This window comes from Homo sapiens, chromosome 6 (genome assembly GCF_000001405.40).
Source record: "Homo sapiens chromosome 6, GRCh38.p14 Primary Assembly".
NCBI classification, from domain to species: Eukaryota; Metazoa; Chordata; class Mammalia; order Primates; family Hominidae; genus Homo; species Homo sapiens.
Window position 1 is genome coordinate 46,684,817 of NC_000006.12, and position 20,284 is coordinate 46,705,100.

Genomic DNA, 20,284 nt, shown 5'->3' on the forward strand with positions numbered 1-20,284 from the left:
CTTTCTTTGGGATAAATGCCTAAATGCAATTTTTCAGTCATATGGCAAGTACATAGTTTTTAAAATGTGGCTGTACCATTTTACATTCTTACCAGCAACATAAGTGATGCAGTTTATTCACATTCTTGCCAGTACTGGTGTTATCACGATTTTTTAGCTTAGTCATTACCATGGCATGTGGTGATATAACATTGTGGGTTTTTTTTTTTTTTTGTCTAATAGCTAATGATGTTGAAAATCTTTTCATATTCTTCTTTGTCATCTGTACATCCTCCTCCGTGAAATGCCACTTCATATCTTTTGCCTATTTTCAAATTTATTTTTTTTACTATTGAGTTTCGAGAGTCGTTTATCTATTATAGATACAAGTCCTATGTCAGACGTGTGGTTTGCAAATATTTTCTCCCTGTCTGTAGCTTGTCTTTTTCATTCTCCTAACAGGGTATTTCTTACTTGAACTGTTTTCTAAAAATATCCAGTAAATGTTAATTTTTCTAAGCAACTTTAAACAAAGTCAATTAGTAGTATAGAAACTATAGACTGTAAAGTATACTGCATTTCTGCTTAGAGTTCTCTATACACAGAGGCCTAAGACAGCACAAAATAAGTATGATTTATTTAGCCCAATTTTCCTGCATCGTTTCCATAAAAAATATTGAAGTGGCTCATAATATTAGTATTCAAACACCTGTCATACACATTCCATCCCTGGCCTTAACCTTTCCCCCTTTATCCCTTACGTATTTGTATTAGGATAAGAATATCCTCTCTCCCAAACTTCACATACCGGGGCCTGTCAAGGGGTGGAAGGATAGGGGAGGGATAGCATTAGGAGAAATACCTAATGTAGATGATGGGTTGATGGGTGCAGCAAACCACCATGGCATGTGTATACCTATGTAACAAATCTGCACGTTCTGTACATAATGTCCCAGAACTTAAAGTACAATAATAATAAAAAAAAAATCCCCTCTCCCTTCTTTTCCGAAACCAAGGGCCTCTCAAGACTAATGGGAGGAAAGTTTATTTATTATAAAACTCAAGATATTTTGTTTAATATAGTATGGGAGATATATGAGGGGAGCTTAATCTTAACAGTGCAATGACCTGATTTTTAAAATTAACCCGAGTCCCTGTCCAACAGCAGAGCATGACAGAACAAACTAATGCTACCTGCTCCAGATACAGAAAAGGTAGGACATTGGAAAATCTGGGTGGATGGGGGTAAAGGATTCAGATCAGCCCATAACGGCCACGTGATATACCCTGACGTCCTAGGATTAAGGCCATGAGCCATGGAAGGAGGTTGGAGGACAAATGAAATACAGAAAGTCATAATATCTACAACCCTGTGGTCTACAAAGGAGTTTGGTTATACTACATGAACCTGAAATAGATGATGGATTAAAGTCTCCATTATTCCATGTAATGATAAAACAATTTCAAGTGATCATAAGACCATTTTATAATGAATTCCTTCTTTCCACTGTAAAGGCCATAGTGTTAGATTGCTTACTCTTGTTAAGATTTACTGGATGCTAACAGTCCAGCACTGGCTAGGCATCGAGAACATAAAAATAAATGAGAAGTGTTCCTGCTTTTAAGATGTTCCTACTGTGGCAAACAGAGAGCTACAAAATATAATAATATAGAAGTATGTAAAAAAAAAAAAAAAAAGGAATAACCAATTCTGCCAGGTTGAATAGTAGGGTCACGAGGAAACGACGTTTGAGCTAGGTCTTGCTAGATGTTTTTAAATAAAATGTTTTTCTTCCATAATGAATATGAAACAATTAGAAAAAAAATGGGAAAATTGAGTTTTCAAGGATGAGTTCTTCAGGAAAAGAAAAGCTTTGGCTTTTAGAGAAATTGGATTCATTCATTCATTCATTCATATTCATTTAGCAAATATTCATTGCCTTCACTCCAAGCTAGATTCCGAGAATCCAACAAACGGTACTTGCCAAAGGGAACCTGTCGGCTGGTGGGATGATAGAGATCAGACAGTTGCCACACAATGTGAAAAGTGCCGTGAAAAAGTAAGCATAGGGTGATGTGGAAGCACATGGTTGCCTCTAATCTGGACAGACTGAAGACACTGAGATTTACAGTTAGGCCAGGGTCATTTGAAGCACTGCCTTGTTGTATTTGTATGTAATGACATTTCGAAACGTGGAATGAAAGGAAAAGTACAGGCAGACTATAAGAAGCTTCCACGGATGTGTCTAACTTTGCAAATGAACAAAAATCTAATGTAGACATATCCTGGAAACTTCTAGTTTGCCTGCACTTTTCCATTCCAAATGGAGGTTTGGACATTTAACAGAGGCCTCAAAGGGTTATCCTGTTAAGATTTTAGTATATACAGCAGGGGCTTGAAGGAATGTTGATTCCATTCCTCTTGGCCTCCTTTTATGAATCCAGTTCTGTGCTAGCTCTGTGAGTAAATGAAAATGCCTTCAAAATTGGGATGCCAGAGTTAGACAGCAAAGGAGCAAAGGAACCCGTATCAGCTAAGTGTGGGAAGGGAAATATGTACCAGTTGCTATATACTTTCACACGTTATTTTAACCTCATAACAACTCTTATCAATTCAGATGATGGAACAGGGTTAAAGAATAGAGGCTGAGCACCTGGCTGTCCACGGACACACTGAGCCAGCAGGAGCACCCGTGCCCCGCAGCAGCACCCAGGGCCCTCCTAGAGTTCCGGCCTTAACGCCTAGGAACGTGCCATTGGCTCCTGCGTTTCTCGTTCCCGTCGGGAACGCCACTGGCTAGTACCTTGCCTGGCCCCCAGTGCTCAATCCCTGGTAGTTGGGAGGACGAAAAGGAAATCCCTCTCTGGTCGGTCCTCACCGCAGCCCTGTGTCAGGCCGTCACACGGCGGCCTCCAGAGTCGAAGGCGCTCTGAGGAGATGCAGGTTGTGTCCAAAACCTCCCACCTCGGGGTCTCCTGAACGTCCCAACAAGCTCCTTGGGCCCTTAGGCGTTAGGCCAACCCCAGGCCTCGGCTGGCCCCGCCCACTCTCCGCGGCCGGAAGTGGCGGCGCCGAGTGAGGTAAATGCGTGCCCGGAAGCGCGACCTCGGGCGGTTGGAGGGGCTACCGGGTCTTACCAGTCCGTGGCGGGAGTCCCGGAGGACCCTCGACGGGGGAGTTGCCGAGAAAAGGCCTCGCCGGCATTCTTCCCCTCCACTGGGTCCTTTGAACCTAGTTTGGCTGGGACTCGCCTTCAGGCGGCGCGGAGGATTTCGAGGCCCTGAGGCGCGGCCCTTAATTTCCGGAAGTGGGGGCCGCGCCGCGCCGTCAAGATGTGCTCGACGCCCGGAATGCCGGCGCCGGGGGCCTCGCTGGCCCTGCGGGTGTCCTTCGTGGACGTGCATCCCGATGTGATCCCGGTGCAGCTGTGGGGGCTGGTGGGCGAGCGGCGGGGCGAGTACCTGCGGCTGAGCCGGGAAATCCAGGAAGCGGCGGCCACGCGCGGCCAGTGGGCGCTGGGCAGCGCCTCGGCCTCGCCCGGCGAGCTGTGCCTGGTGCAGGTCGGGCTTTTGTGGCACCGCTGCCGCGTGGTCAGCCGGCAGGCACAGGAGAGCCGTGTCTTCCTGCTGGACGAGGGCCGCACCATCACGGCCGGAGCAGGCTCGCTGGCGCCTGGGCGCAGAGAGTTCTTCAATTTGCCCTCGGAAGTGCTGGGCTGCGTGCTAGCGGGCCTGGTGCCGGCAGGCTGCGGCGCGGGCTCAGGCGAGCCGCCGCAGCACTGGCCCGCCGACGCCGTGGACTTCCTTAGCAACCTTCAGGGCAAGGAGGTGCACGGGTGCGTCCTGGACGTGCTGCTGCTCCATCGCCTGGTCCTCCTGGAGGTGCCTGATGTGTTCCAACAGATGCGGGAGCTGGGCCTGGCTCGGCGGGTGCCCGACAGCCTCTTCCGTTCGCTGCTGGAGCGCTATCTCACAGCGGCCACTGCTAGCGTGGGCTCCGGGGTCCCGGTTCTCTCGCGAGTCCCGCTCAAGCAAAAGCAGCCTGGTCTGGATTACTTCTATCCCCAGCTGCAGCTGGGCGTGACGGAGGCCGTGGTCATAACCCAAGTGTGCCATCCCCACCGCATTCACTGCCAGCTCCGCAGCGTCTCGCAGGAGATCCACCGCCTCTCCGAGAGCATGGCCCAGGTATACCGGGGTTCCACGGGGACAGGGGATGAGAACTCTACCAGTGCCACCTGGGAGGAGAGGGAGGAGAGCCCAGATAAGCCGGGCTCTCCGTGTGCATCCTGTGGCCTGGATGGACATTGGTACAGAGCACTGTTGCTTGAGACTTTTCGGCCCCAGCGCTGTGCCCAGGTGCTTCATGTGGACTATGGAAGGAAGGAGTTAGTGAGTTGCAGCAGCCTTCGGTACTTGCTGCCTGAATATTTTCGAATGCCGGTGGTGACCTACCCTTGTGCTTTGTATGGACTCTGGGACGGTGGGAGAGGCTGGTCTCGGTCACAGGTCGGTGACCTGAAGACACTGATACTAGGCAAGGCAGTGAATGCAAAGATTGAATTTTATTGCTCCTTTGAGCATGTGTATTATGTCAGCCTGTATGGAGAAGATGGGATTAATCTGAACCGTGTGTTTGGAGTACAGTCGTGTTGCTTGGCTGACCGAGTCCTTCAGAGCCAGGCAACAGAGGAGGAGGAACCAGAAACATCTCAGTCTCAGTCTCCTGCTGAAGAAGTAGATGAAGAGATTTCACTCCCAGCCTTAAGATCTATCAGGTTAAAGATGAATGCCTTCTACGATGCGCAGGTAGAGTTTGTTAAAAATCCTTCTGAGTTTTGGATTAGGTTGAGGAAACACAATGTCACCTTCAGTAAGCTGATGAGGAGAATGTGTGGTTTCTATTCCTCTGCCAGTAAGCTGGATGGTGTAGTTTTGAAACCTGAACCTGATGACCTTTGCTGTGTCAAGTGGAAAGAAAATGGTTATTATAGGGCCATAGTCACCAAATTGGATGACAAGAGTGTGGATGTATTCTTAGTTGACCGAGGCAATTCGGAAAATGTGGACTGGTATGACGTAAGGATGCTGCTTCCTCAGTTTAGGCAGCTACCAATATTGGCTGTGAAGTGCACCCTGGCTGATATTTGGCCTTTGGGAAAAACTTGGAGCCAGGAGGCAGTTTCCTTTTTTAAAAAGACTGTGCTCCACAAAGAATTAGTCATCCATATTCTTGATAAACAGGATCATCAATATGTTATTGAGATTCTTGACGAATCAAGAACAGGGGAAGAAAACATTAGTAAGGTAATTGCCCAAGCTGGATATGCCAAGTATCAGGAATTTGAAACAAAGGAAAATATCCTGGTAAATGCCCACTCCCCAGGGCATGTTTCAAACCACTTTACTACGGAGAGTAACAAAATACCTTTTGCCAAGACTGGAGAAGGAGAGCAGAAAGCCAAGAGAGAGAATAAAACCACATCTGTTTCAAAAGCTTTGAGTGACACAACAGTTGTAACAAATGGTTCAACTGAACTAGTTGTGCAGGAAAAAGTGAAAAGAGCATCTGTTTATTTTCCTCTTATGCAGAATTGCTTGGAAATTAAGCCAGGCTCCTCTAGTAAAGGAGAGCTGGAAGTTGGAAGTACAGTAGAAGTCAGAGTGTCTTATGTTGAAAACCCTGGCTATTTCTGGTGTCAGCTGACCAGGAACATACAAGGACTTAAAACTCTAATGTCTGATATTCAGTACTATTGCAAAAATACAGCTGCTCCTCACCAGAGAAACACCCTTGCTTGTTTGGCTAAGCGAACAGTAAACAGACAGTGGTCCAGAGCACTTATTAGTGGGATACAGTCTGTGGAGCATGTCAATGTAACATTTGTAGATTATGGAGACAGAGAAATGGTATCTGTGAAGAATATTTATTCAATTAGTGAAGAATTTCTGAAGGTTAAGGCACAGGCTTTTAGGTGCAGTCTTTATAATTTAATTCAACCAGTTGGCCAGAATCCCTTTGTTTGGGATGTAAAGGCAATACAAGCTTTCAATGAATTTATAGATAATGCATGGCAAAAAAATCTAGAATTAAAATGTACAATATTTGCTCTGGCTTCAATTAATGAAGAACTGTTTAACATTGTGGATTTGCTAACCCCCTTTCAGAGTGCATGCCATTTCTTGGTAGAAAAGAGACTTGCAAGACCAGTAAAACTTCAGAAGCCTTTGGAGTCCTCTGTTCAGCTACATTCCTACTTCTATTCTACACATGATATGAAAATTGGAAGTGAAGAATTAGTTTATATAACGCATATTGATGACCCTTGGACATTTTATTGCCAGCTGGCAAGAAATGCAAATATTTTAGAACAGTTGTCATGTAGTATTACACAATTAAGTAAAGTTTTGCTGAATTTAAAAACATCTCCCTTGAACCCTGGAACCTTGTGCCTTGCCAAGTATACTGATGGAAACTGGTATAGGGGCATAGTAATAGAGAAAGAGCCAAAGAAAGTCTTCTTTGTTGATTTTGGGAATATTTATGTAGTAACAAGTGATGATCTGCTTCCAATACCTAGTGATGCATATGATGTCTTACTTTTGCCCATGCAAGCTGTCAGATGTTCATTATCTGATATTCCTGATCATATACCAGAAGAAGTGGTGGTGTGGTTTCAGGAGACTATTTTAGATAAGTCATTGAAGGCTTTAGTTGTAGCAAAAGATCCAGATGGAACACTGATTATAGAACTATATGGTGACAATATTCAAATTAGTGCTAGTATTAATAAGAAGTTGGGGCTACTTAGTTACAAAGATAGAATAAGAAAAAAAGAAAGTGAAGTCCTCTGTTCTACAACTGAAACTCTTGAAGAAAAAAATGAGAATATGAAGTTGCCATGTACAGAGTATTTAAGTAAATCAGTAGGGTACAAGTTACCTAATAAAGAAATTTTGGAAGAGTCATATAAACCTCAGATCAACTCATCATACAAGGAACTCAAACTTTTACAAAGTTTAACAAAAACAAACTTAGTCACTCAATATCAAGACTCTGTGGGAAATAAAAATAGTCAAGTGTTTCCATTAACAACAGAAAAGAAAGAAGAAATTTCTGCTGAGACACCCTTGAAAACAGCAAGAGTAGAAGCTACTCTTTCAGAGAGAAAAATAGGAGATTCATGTGACAAAGATTTGCCTCTGAAATTTTGTGAGTTCCCACAGAAGACTATAATGCCTGGATTTAAAACAACTGTATATGTTTCTCATATAAATGACCTTTCAGACTTTTATGTTCAACTAATAGAAGATGAAGCTGAAATTAGTCATCTTTCAGAGAGATTAAACAGTGTTAAAACAAGGCCCGAATATTATGTAGGTCCACCTTTGCAAAGAGGAGATATGATATGTGCTGTTTTCCCAGAAGATAATTTATGGTATCGTGCTGTGATCAAGGAGCAACAACCCAATGACCTTCTCTCTGTGCAGTTTATAGATTATGGCAATGTTTCTGTGGTTCATACTAACAAAATAGGTAGGCTTGACCTTGTTAATGCAATATTGCCGGGGTTGTGCATTCATTGCTCCTTGCAGGGATTTGAGGTTCCTGACAATAAAAATTCTAAGAAAATGATGCATTACTTTTCCCAACGGACCAGCGAGGCTGCAATAAGATGTGAATTTGTTAAATTTCAAGACAGATGGGAAGTTATTCTTGCTGATGAACATGGGATCATAGCAGATGATATGATTAGCAGGTATGCTCTCAGTGAAAAATCTCAAGTAGAACTTTCTACCCAAGTAATTAAAAGTGCCAGTTCAAAGTCTGTTAACAAATCAGACATTGACACTTCAGTATTTCTTAACTGGTATAATCCAGAAAAAAAAATGATAAGAGCTTATGCCACTGTGATAGATGGACCTGAGTACTTTTGGTGTCAGTTTGCTGATACGGAGAAACTTCAGTGTTTAGAAGTAGAAGTACAGACTGCTGGAGAACAGGTAGCAGACAGGAGAAATTGTATCCCATGTCCTTATATTGGAGATCCTTGTATAGTAAGATACAGAGAAGATGGACATTATTATAGGGCACTTATCACTAATATTTGTGAAGATTATCTTGTATCTGTCAGGCTTGTGGACTTTGGAAACATTGAAGACTGTGTGGACCCAAAAGCACTCTGGGCCATTCCTTCTGAACTTCTGTCGGTTCCCATGCAAGCCTTTCCATGTTGCCTCTCAGGGTTTAACATTTCAGAAGGATTATGTTCTCAAGAGGGAAATGACTATTTCTATGAAATAATAACAGAAGATGTGTTGGAAATAACAATACTAGAAATCAGAAGGGATGTTTGTGATATCCCTTTAGCAATTGTTGACTTGAAAAGCAAAGGTAAAAGTATTAATGAGAAAATGGAGAAATATTCTAAGACTGGTATTAAAAGTGCTCTTCCCTATGAAAATATTGACTCAGAGATAAAGCAGACTCTTGGGTCCTACAATCTTGATGTAGGACTTAAGAAATTAAGTAATAAAGCTGTACAAAATAAAATATATATGGAACAACAGACAGATGAGCTTGCTGAAATAACTGAAAAAGATGTAAACATTATTGGAACCAAACCAAGTAACTTCCGTGACCCTAAAACTGATAACATTTGTGAAGGGTTTGAAAACCCCTGCAAAGATAAAATTGATACTGAGGAACTGGAAGGTGAATTAGAGTGCCATCTGGTTGACAAAGCAGAGTTTGATGATAAATACCTGATTACAGGATTTAACACATTACTACCACATGCTAATGAAACAAAGGAGATACTAGAACTGAATTCACTTGAGGTGCCGCTTTCTCCTGATGATGAATCAAAAGAATTCTTAGAACTGGAATCTATTGAGTTACAGAATTCTCTGGTGGTGGATGAAGAAAAAGGGGAGCTAAGCCCGGTGCCACCGAATGTGCCACTCTCCCAAGAGTGTGTCACAAAAGGCGCCATGGAGCTATTTACACTGCAGCTTCCTCTCAGCTGTGAAGCTGAGAAACAGCCAGAACTAGAACTACCTACAGCCCAGCTGCCTTTAGATGACAAGATGGATCCTTTGTCTTTAGGAGTTAGTCAGAAAGCACAGGAATCCATGTGTACTGAGGACATGAGAAAGTCAAGTTGTGTAGAATCTTTTGATGACCAGCGCAGGATGTCATTGCATCTACATGGAGCAGATTGTGATCCTAAAACACAGAATGAAATGAATATATGTGAAGAAGAATTTGTAGAGTATAAAAACAGGGATGCCATTTCGGCATTGATGCCTTTGTTCTCTGAGGAAGAAAGCAGTGATGGAAGCAAGCACAATAATGGTTTACCAGATCATATCTCAGGTATGTGAATTTTTTTTCCTTTTTACTTTTTTTTTTTTTTTTTTTTGAGACAGGGTCTTGCTCTGTCACCTAGGCTGGAGTGCAGTGGTGTGATCTTGGCTCACTGCAGCCTCTGCCTCCCAGGCTCTAGTGATTTTCCCACCTCAGCCTCCCAAGTAGCTGGGACTACAGGTGTGTGCCACCACACCCAGCTTATTTTTCTGTTTTTTGTAGAGACAGGGTTTGTCATGTTATCCAGGTTGGTCTCAAACTCCTGGGCTCAAGCAGTCCTTCTGCCTCAGCCTCCCAAAGTGTGCTTTTACTTTTAAGTTTAACATAGTGACTTTCCAGAGTTGTTATTTGTTTTAAAGAAAAGAGAATAATTCTTATATGGATTTCTAAAAAATAATTTTTTGTAAGAGATTAAAAACCTGGAAAGTGAATCAGATTGGATTTTATGAAGGGCATTTTAAACTTGGGGAAAATATATTGTGAAATCAGTGCAAAATATGTGCTGGAAGAAACACTGAAATATTAGTTTTGTGTTTAAAAGTTGAATGCTTGAAATCTATTAGTCTCCAAAAGGTAATCACATTTAAAATGTAATCACATTTATAATCAAGAGGGCATGTGTTGGTAAGTTTTATAAAACATGGTATTCCCTTGCCAAATTTATGGCACTACTACAGGCATTAATTTACACTAAGGATTATTTCAACAGGGTCTTTTAGACTTAACTGTATCATGCATTGATCTTGCAATTCATTAGAAACCCTTAAAGAAAAAAAATAGATTTAGGTAGCCTATATTAATCAAAAACTGTTTCATGTGTAAATCTTGGAGAACATTTATTAACTTTTTTATAAATTATTTTTACTACTGTTTGCTACTTAAAAAGAATTGTTAAATGGGTAACTTTTAGCTTTTTATAATCAATGCTATACTTTTTAAATGTCAATTTTTATATTATTAAATTTGAACCATTGTAAAAATAAGGAAAATAATGGAATAGTGAGAATGAAAATCAACAAGAAGTGATCAATGTTAACACCATGATGTATTTTCTTTTTGTTGTCTTTTACTGTCTTTGTGTATGTCTACTATATAGTTTTAAAAACAATTTAGATCATACTATCATACAGTATTGAATCCTGCATTTTAGTCCCTTAAAAATGCTTTCAAAATATTTTAATTGCATGGTATGCCATCCTATGGGTAACACATAAGTTATTTAAGTATTACCCTTGCATTAGATATTTATTCCTCATTGTCATATTTAATAATAGTATTAACTCTGTGATAAGAATGTCTGCTCATTTGTAACATGCTGCTTTCTTATAGAAATGGCTGTTGTAAGTATAAAAAACACCACTTGTCTTAATAGTACCATATTTTATTAGCGATTTTCACTGTTAGAAATCAAATTCACATCCTTGTGGTGATTTTTTGTTTGGTTTGTTGGTTTAGAAAAGCAATAAGAGATTATATGGGGGGGCGGGCACTGTAAGAATTTTAAACAAAATTGAGGGAGACAGTCATACCAATGTACTAATTACATGATATTGATGATATAGAAATAATGCAGATTAGGAAAATGCTTTGCTTGTGTATGTTACATTAAGGAATTAAGAGATATGCATTGAGTCTTACTCAATTCAATTTGGCAGCTCAACTACAGAACACCTACACTCTGAAAGCCTTTACTGTTGGATCTAAATGTGTTGTGTGGTCAAGTCTAAGAAACACATGGTCTAAATGTGAGATTTTAGAAACAGCTGAAGAAGGAACAAGGGTAAGTGATGTTTAAGTACTTTATCTCCAAATGTATTTGCAGACTATTAAGGAAAGTTTACCAGACTCTGTCAGACTAGAGAACGCGATTGAACAAATGTTTACTTGCTTGTTCCCCCTGATAACTTGATGTAATGCACATATATTTTAAATCTCCATATATAAGAATCGTAGCAAGAAATCATCCTAGGCTGTATCATCTATCTCCCTTACTCTTTCTAAATGCTATTAGTCACCTAGTTCCACACTTTACACATCTTATCTCTTAGTTGGAATTTTTTATATCTAATGCCACTACCTTAGTTGAGTCATTTCACAACTACATTAATAACCTTCTATTTTGTTTGCTTCTTCTAGTCTTCCTTAAATTGATTGTCCATGGTGTCAGGGTGAAGTTTGTAAAATGTAAATTTGATTACTTCATTATTGTGTAAAACTTATTAGGGAGCCTGTTGATCGTGTTTCTCCCGTGATTTGAAAACCACCTGTTCGAGAGTTACTTGGTATATATATATATATGTATATGTGTGTATATATATATATATATATGTATATGTAATATATATGTATATATATGTGTGTATATATGTGTATATATATGTATATATGTGTGTGTGTGTGTGTGTGTGTGTGTGTGTATATATATATATATATATATTTTTTTTTTTTTTTTTTTTTTTTTTTTGAGACAGGGTCTCACTCTGTCACCCAGGCTGGAGTGCAGTGGCGCCATCTTGGCTCACTGCAAGCTCTGCCTCCCAGGTTCACACCATTCTCCTGCCTCAGCCTCCCAAGTAGCTGGGACTACAGGCGCCCACCACGACGCCCAGCTAATTTTTTGTATTTTTAGTAGAGACGGGGTTTCACCTTGTTAGCGAGGATGGTCTCGATCTCCTGACCTTGTGATCCGCCCACCTCAGCCTCCCAAAGTGCTGGGATTACAGGCATGAGCCACTGCGCCCGGCTGTTTTTTAAATTGTATTATAGATTCCTACGCCTTGGCCTGGACTGCTAATTCAGAATTTCTGGGGTTAGGATTCCAGAATATGCATTCATATTCCATTAAAATTGGAGAGCCCCTGGCCTGGAACATAAAAGTCAAGCTCATTAACATGGCATAGGAAATCCTCTAGGGTTAAGTGTTTATGTACTCTCTTTGGCCCTAATTCTTTATATTTTGTACTTTATATTAAATGGACATCAAAATTCTTGACTTCTCTTACATATACCATCTGCTTGCTCTTTCGATATATTTAATATTGCAGTTCTATTTTACCTATATTCCATCCTGTTACCAAACTGGTTAATTCCAATTTACTTACCCATTGCCTCTACCAGGGAGCATTCACTGATGTTATTTTCTAAATTTATTCTTGTCCTCAACCTTCCCCCATCCCAAAAAAAGCCTTATTTCTGTATTACAATCCTATACCTCCTACTACAGAAGTCTGAACTTCCTATGGTGTATTGTAATTATCTGCTTAGAGGTCTTTTCTCCACTAGATTTTGAACTATTTGATGTTGAAATTTTATCCATCTTTGATCACCAGTCATAGATACTCTACATATGTTTGGGAAACTGAAGTAGCATGGAGTTTGAAACATAAGGTTGAAGCTCAATAAATTCATTTTCATTGTCTTTTAAAGTGTTTCATTTTAGGGCCAGGTGCAGTGGCTTATGCCTGTAATCCCAGCACTTTGGGAGGCCAAGGCAGGTGGATCGCTTGAGCCAAGGAGTTTGAGACCAGACTGGGCAGCATAGTGAAACCCTGTCTTTATCCAAAATACAAAAAATTAGCTGGGCATGGTGGTGTGCGCCTGTAGTCCCAGTTATTCAGGAGGCTGAGATGGGCAGATTGCCTGAGCCCAGGAGGTCAAGGTCACAGTGAGCTCTGATCCTGCCACTGCCCTCCATCCTGGGCAATAGAGCAAGACCCTATCTCAAAATAATAATAATAATAATAGTATTTCATTTTTAAAATAATTGCTCTGGTACATAAATCAGTTATTTTTTTGAATTGGACACTTTAAAAAAATTTGTTTTCTCCTGTAGGTTTTGAACCTTTCAAATGGTATGGAGGAGATAGTGAACCCTGAGAATGTCTGGAATGGCATACCCAAATTGGATAAGAGTCCACCTGAGGTATGGAATTCTATAAATAGTAATTAGTGAGAGCATTGTTCTTCATTTTGAAAGGTGATTTAACAAACTATTTCCAAAGTCCTTGTGTTTGGAAAAATGGGAGAAAAATCCTGTGACAATAGTTAAAAACAGCAATAACAAAATCAGTGATTTTAGTCCTTATGCCAAGTATTCTTCTGAGAAAACTAGTTATTAATGTTTTACTCCTTGATTAGAAAATGTTTTGGTCTTCATGACTCTAATAAAATACATATTAGATGCAGAAAACCTGAGAAATATAACAATATTAAAAATGAGAAAGTAACAATCACCGATAATATACCCATCCAGAGACAAATAGGTTGACCAGTTTGGTTTTCTTTTATAATTTTTCTGTTTATATGTAATATAAGTATTTCATCTACATATTTTAGACACAATTGATTTCATCCTATGTATAGTTTTATATTCTGTTTTTCTTCATTTAAGACTATATGGTGGGCAATTTGCCATGACATTATGATGTGTCTGGGCATTTGAGTTTATCCTGTTTGGGGTTGGTTGGACTTCTTGAACTTCTCACTTCACAATCTTTGTCTGATAGTTTTAATATCTGGTCATCTTGGGGTTTGTAGCTGTTGATTTTCTTTTCCCTAGAGAAATGGTCAGCTTTTCTTGGTTCTTTGTATGTTGAGTAATTTTGGATTATATCCTGAACATTTTGCATATTATGTTTTAAGACATTGGGTCCTGTTAAAATCTGGAGAATGTTGAAGTTTTTGTTACAGCAGATGATCAGCTGGTTTCAATTCATCCTACATGTTCTCTTTCTCCTTCTGTGGTTGGTGATTGTCCTGTCAGTTTAGTTTTCAAAGCCTTTGTTGTTCAGGTCTTCCAGGTACATAAGCCACCCAGGGTAGTCAGGGACTTTGGTCAGTGGTTTATATAGTAGTTAAGTGTCAAAGACTTTGCTGTGCTTATTTGGCTCTGTTCTGCATGTGCATAGCTCAGGGGCAATCCTGAGACTTAGAGTTCACATGTAGCATTAGGAGTTAAACATTTTCAACTCCTTTCCTCTCTGAGATGTCCTCCACATTTTCTGGCTCCCAGGATCCTCTCTTATCCAGCCTCCAATGGCCCCTTTTTCTGGTCACCTAGCCAGACAGTATTTTTCTCTCAGCCTCTGCTCCACCACACAGTTCTGTTTGCCCGTAAGAGCGAAGCAGATAAAGAGATAACAAAAACAATCTCCTATTACTATTCTTCAGATGACAGAAAGCTCTTTTCCTGGTTCCACTGGCTAGAGAGACGGGTCATCTCTCACATTTGTAGGTGCCTATGTTGCCATAGCTGTCACCAGGCAGTAACTGGGGTTAGCCACCCTCAGGGCAGGGCCAGAAAAAAAAATAGAAATAAACATAACACCACAATACAGCAAAGAGATTTCCTACCTATTTCTTACTCTCTAGCATTCAGGGTTCCTTTATCCCTAGTCCACTGGCTATAAATAAGAAATTTCTCTCAGAGTTTTGCTGTCTACGCTAGCTAGGCAGTTTTGATTTGGCCCACCCTCAGATCAAAATCAGGAGACAAAGAAGTAAAAAAAAAGAAAAGAAAAGGCCTATGAAACTCACTCCTGTTGTGAGTCATTATTCACGTTTTTACTTTAATTCTTAATCTACCTATTTCTGTTCACTTTTGAGTCTTTGAGTAGTTGCTTTTTATATTCTGTCTAGAATTTTTCATTGTAATCAGCGAAAGAGGTTATAGTCAGCTTATTCCATCTTGGCTGCACCCAGAAGGCCATAAACAATATTTAATAGCTAAATAATGCTGCATGACACTAGTGAGCCATAATGTATTAAACCATTTCCCATAGTGTTGGATATTTAGGTCATTTGAAATTTTTACTATAAAAAATCAATGAATATCTCTCTTTATGTTAATTACTTTTTTGCTTAGGTCAAAAATACCAGCCTACTACACTTTTTGCATCAGTATTTACTAAAACTTTTTACATTTGGGTTGTCTCCATCCATTAATTATGAAGAATCCACAGCCAAATGCATACATATGTACATACAAGATTCAGTTTGGATAAAGTTCTCTATGCCTGCTACATAGAAAAGAACTATTTAAAGTAGACATAAAATTATATATCTAGATAAGTAAATAGATAACTACCTCTGGCTTTGACTAGGCCAGTTAGCAGACATATAGAAACTACTTATGAGTAAGACTCTAAAAATTTTGATTTGGTTACTAATGAGATTTAAATATCCTTCCCTCAAATTCGAGGAAGCTCTTAACTCTGGATACCTGTCTACAAATGAGCTAGCTTTCCTTACAAAGTGAGTGTTGTATTATGCATGACTTTTTTTTAATGATACATCAAGTCACTATGATCTAGGAATCTAATTACTTTTTTTAAAAAAATGGTTTCTTATCTGAGTTATTTTATTTTACCATAAGAGTATTTTGTTAGTTACTGTATCACATAATGCATGCACATGATGCTATTGGTTGTTAAAAGGAATATAGGAGAAATATTTCCCTTTTCATTGTCCTTAATAAAGCATCTGTGGCTCTACATGGATACTGTGTTTGAATAACAGCCCCTTGAACAATGATGTCCCTCCCTCCTTCACCAATTACCAGAGTTGTTGGGGATTTGAGAGCTAAACATTGGAAAAGGGTACTTTACTCCCTGTGTAGAGTGCTCCAGGGATATGTTCTAGAGAAATGAGTATTTGAAGAATAGAAAAAGTACTTGACATGATTCCTCATTATAAAATCAGATTGTCATAATTTTGATAGAAATACATTTTGTTGTTTACATCTTTTCTGGCTTATCTGTGGTTCCATTTCTGATTTGAATTATTTTGTACTCGTGATAAAGAATCAATAGCAATTCAAAGGTTCCTTTTGTTAGGCTGTATCCCAAAGAGTAGGGAAAGATCTTTACTTCATGTCAGTGGGTGATACCACTATTAAAGGTAACTTGTGTTTTTAAAACAAAATACTTTTATCACCCAGAATTACAATTTCTTAAAAATATTGTTATGCTGAATCCCTCAAACAAAAATGGTTTATCAATTTCTTTGGACATAGGTAGCAGGGAAGAAAAACCACTTTAGGTAAAAAAATTTAAATATACTTATGGAGATAAATAACCCAAGATGAGGATTTCTTGAAATATAGGAAATTTATTAATTGAATTAATCTTGAAAGTTAAATTATGAATGTGATAAATTCACATTTTAAAGAATTTTCTCTGTTAATTAGCTCATATGTTCAAATGATATTTGTTAAATAATCTCTTGGAATTTCTGAATCTTTAGTTTATATAAGATTCAAATTATTGGCTGGTTCTTGGTATTGCACATTCTTGTTCATAAATAATGCAGTGGTTCTTAGAATTGAGGCACATTGAGAATAAAATCAGCTAATGGTAGCTTTAATATCATGTGAAAAATATATACTAATCAAAAAGGAAAAAGAACTAATTGATTATCAGCCTTGTTCACACCATTCTCTAGCAAAATATAAAATATGCCAATTTCATAATTTTTAGAGAAACTTGATTTGATGGTACAGTGTGAGAACCAAAATATTAATAAGAAAATAAAACATTGTTTCTATAGAAATAATGCCCTATAGTAATTAGAATACTCATCTGTCCCCTCTCCCTTTTAGAGAACATTACATTTGTCATGGTAACACCCATGGAAATAAATTTTTTTGTTTGTATGTTTCTTTCTCAGTTTGAAGTTTTTCTCTTTTTGTTTCAGAAAAGGGGTTTGGAGGTGATGGAGATTTAACCGTGGATCTATAGCTGTGGCCAATCAGTCAGAAGCTGCCCTTGAACAAGTGGCATCTTACGCAGACCAACAGAGTATTTGAGAAAATTGAAAACATGTAACCACAAGAAGTTGTCATTTTCAAAAACTTCTATATAGGTGGAAAACAAATTAGGTCTCAGGTTGATGGTGGGGTGTGTTTATAGTGATCCTGTTATATATACAGATCTGGGATCTTTCGTCTTTATTGTCTTACGTTTCTAATTAGTTGGGAGGATTTATTTTGCTAAACAGTTTACTAACACATTACATTTCAAAAACTATTTTGGTACCTTTCAAATACAGTGTTTAAATTAAAATAGAAAAATAAGGGCTCATGACAAGTACATTATTTGATTCTACTTAGGATAGCTTTTTAGCAGGATCTCCTTCAGAATTTTTGTCTTGACTTTGAATCTTTGCCTGTTTGTCTAAACATTTGACTAACATTCTGTTTGAATTTGGAAGTATTCTAATACAAGATTTGAATAAAGTTTATCCTTAAATAAAGTTTATCCTTAATATGATGGTCTCATTTTATTAAAAAGGAAATAGAACTCTTAAATATACTTGGTTCCATCTCTCCTCTGTAATGGAGGATTGGGGAAAGCATAGTAATATTAAATGTTAGCTCTTATGTATTAGTCACTTAGCTTATACTTTAAATGCATTTTTTCACTTTATTCATCAACTTTGAAGTGCATATCAATATTATCCATATTTTATAGGTGAGAAAATTGAAGCTTCATAAAGAGGTTAAATAACTTGCCTAAGGTCAGATAGCTGATGAGTCTCAGAGGCTTGATCAAACCCAGACCTACCTAACTTTGAAGCCCATGACTTTTTAAACATGATTTTGCAAAGCATAGATCTTAGCTTTTAGAAACAGATCTGAGCTATATGCTGCTTAACAGATATGTGACATGGGCAAATTATGTAATATTTTGAACTTTGATCTTCATCTGTAAAGTGGTGATAATAAAACCTTTCTTGCAGTGTTTTTTTAAGATGAGAAATAATTGATATAAAGTCCCTGAAAAGGAGTAGGCATTTGATAAATGTGTCTTTCTTTACCCTGAAAAATACTCAGTGTGCACTATGTTAGGTTATTTCTTTTTAACCTTAACTTATTAGATATTTTCAATAGTTATTTTCTCCTTTCAGCATCAGCATGCGCCACCAACAAAAGACTGTAAAAAACAAACAAACAAAAAAGTGTTGAATGGGACATCCATACAGTTGGAATGCTTATTTCTAAAATGAATAGGGAAAAGGTTTGCTAAATGAGACTGGGGTAAAGGTGTATCTCTGTGAAGCATTATCAGACTCTGAAGCCTAATGGAAATAGAATTATGAACCTTAAAAACCCATTATAATTTCCGTAAGTAGAAGGGAGAGAGGTTTGCATTAAAAGTAATTGAGGTAGATGAGTATATTACTTATTCCTGGAATAATGAATAGACAAGTTTGGCTTACTCATATAGATAATATAATGTGAATTGCCAGAAGCAAAGCTCAGAGAAGATGCATTAGGATCAGATTATAGGAAGCCTTCAATTTCAAGCTGAGTTTAACTCCCTATTTTAAAAAATTTAATCTGAATGGCTACAGAAGTAAAATTTCTCAGAATGAGTGACTTTGCACCTGACACCACTAAGATAGGACTAGGGTACCAAATGAGTGGTATAAATTTTTATGTCCCCTGGGAAATAAAATCATTTTCCATGATTCCCATATTTATAAGTATAAATTCTTAAGCTATATTTTTACCTCCATTTAATCGTGTTATTCTGTTTTACTACTACATATAGAATTGAAAACATTAAATAAAATTAACTGGAATATGAAGAAGCTAAATGTAATTCTGAATGTTTTATTATCCTTCACAGCCTTTGTGTGAGTAACTAATGTATTCTAACTGGAATCCCTGCTATATGCTGTAATACCTGTGGAACCTTTCTTTAGCAAGTAGAATGCCTTAAAGAATTAAAGAAAGTGTCAAAAAATTACCAATTTAATCCACTGCCTTTGCCTCATCTCTAATATTCTTAACCCTTCTCTACTCCTTTTAGTCATCATTTGAAATTGTGTAGTACCACCAATCCTGTGCTGAAACAATGGCTTTTGCTTGTTCTAATTTTTCTTACCGTGACCAAAAGTCAAAGAGAAGAGCTGCCAAATTCTACCTAGAATATCATGTTGCTATAATTAAACTCCACTGCCCATAGTAGATAATAAAAGGCAAGAAATTGTTTTTTACTCTATGTTTAGGGAGTCTTGTATCATTGCAACAGGTTTTCACTGGGATTTTGCCTGTTTTAATCTACTTGTCTGTCAAAGTAATGTAAAAACAGTTTTTAACTTCGACACTGAAAAGGAATCATCTTTAAAATTAAAATTTAGGCTGATATGAATATTGTATACTGTATTCTTTCTTTACATCTAAAGGGAAAAAATTCTTAGTCCAAGCTTCAATCACGATTACAGTATAGCCTACATTTTAAAATATGAGTCCTTTGGGAAAATACATTAAAATTCTCTCTCTCTCTCTCTCTCTCTCTCTCTCTCTCTCTCACACACACACACACACACACACACACACACATAATTTTAGACAGTTTTGAAACAAGACTTTTAAAAAACCTATTTTAATCCTAATTGTATTTCTCTATTCCTGAAGAGTTCTGTAACATGATGTGTTGATTGGTTGTGTTAATGTTGGTCCCTGGAATAAGATTCTCATCATCTCCTTCAATCAAGCAGTCCCACTGATCAAAATCTTTATGAAGTCCTATAAAATATAAAGTGTTAATCAACATATTAAACTTTTGAGAGCATTAAACAGTTTGGTGCCCCTAGGTGGCAATAAAGATTTACAAATTACACAAGTTCCGTTAGGATGGTAGAGACGATGTGCTCTGTATCAGCTGCCTCATGGCTGCTTTAGCAGCTGAATGCAAACGGGATAGGAGTGAGGCAACCTGCTGTCAGTATCCTCAACATGGAAGTCCACTCTAGGCTTCATACAAAGAATATTACCTTTAACAGTTGGATTTGCTTTCTATGATATAGAGGATGTAAAGCAGCAAAATTGACTTTCTCAAATTTCTGTTTTCAAATTGATATACTGCTTTGTTCCATTGTAAACCAACTGGAAATAGTTTAAATAGTACTAAAGCTGTATTAAGATAGACA

General features: G+C 38.3%; 2 protein-coding genes and 1 long non-coding RNA gene across 10 annotated transcripts in view; 1 reads left to right on the forward strand and 2 right to left on the reverse strand.

Annotated features, from left to right (window-relative positions):
- The window catches only part of TDRD6-AS1 (TDRD6 and SLC25A27 antisense RNA 1), a 17,722-nt gene extending 14,373 nt beyond the window's left edge, over positions 1–3,349 (reverse strand). The window contains exon 1 of one of the 3 annotated variants that reach the window (NR_134643.1): positions 3,118–3,349. This is a non-coding gene — a long non-coding RNA (TDRD6 and SLC25A27 antisense RNA 1). Of the gene's footprint in view, positions 1–2,783; positions 3,018–3,117 lie in introns of those variants that run through there. The other 2 variants (NR_134644.1, NR_134642.1) reach the window with 2 other exon arrangements.
- Positions 1–19,503, forward strand: part of TDRD6 (tudor domain containing 6) — a 24,052-nt gene extending 4,549 nt beyond the window's left edge. The window contains exons 1-4 of one of the 3 annotated variants that reach the window (NM_001010870.3): positions 3,069–9,358; positions 11,005–11,129; positions 13,182–13,271; positions 17,042–19,503. In NM_001010870.3, the coding sequence (NP_001010870.1) occupies positions 3,313–9,358; positions 11,005–11,129; positions 13,182–13,271; positions 17,042–17,071 (6,291 nt within the window). In that variant the 5' untranslated portion in view covers positions 3,069–3,312 and the 3' untranslated portion in view covers positions 17,072–19,503. Of the gene's footprint in view, positions 1–3,068; positions 9,359–11,004; positions 11,130–13,181; positions 13,272–17,041 lie in introns of those variants that run through there. The other 2 variants (NR_144468.2, NM_001168359.2) reach the window with 2 other exon arrangements.
- PLA2G7 (phospholipase A2 group VII) overlaps positions 19,385–20,284 on the reverse strand; it is a 31,521-nt gene continuing 30,621 nt past the window's right edge. For all 4 annotated transcript variants that reach the window (XM_047419359.1, XM_005249408.5, NM_001168357.2 and 1 more), the window contains one exon: positions 19,385–19,880. In XM_047419359.1, coding sequence (XP_047275315.1) covers positions 19,744–19,880 — 137 coding nt within the window. In that variant the 3' untranslated portion in view covers positions 19,385–19,743. The remainder of the gene's footprint in view (positions 19,881–20,284) is intronic.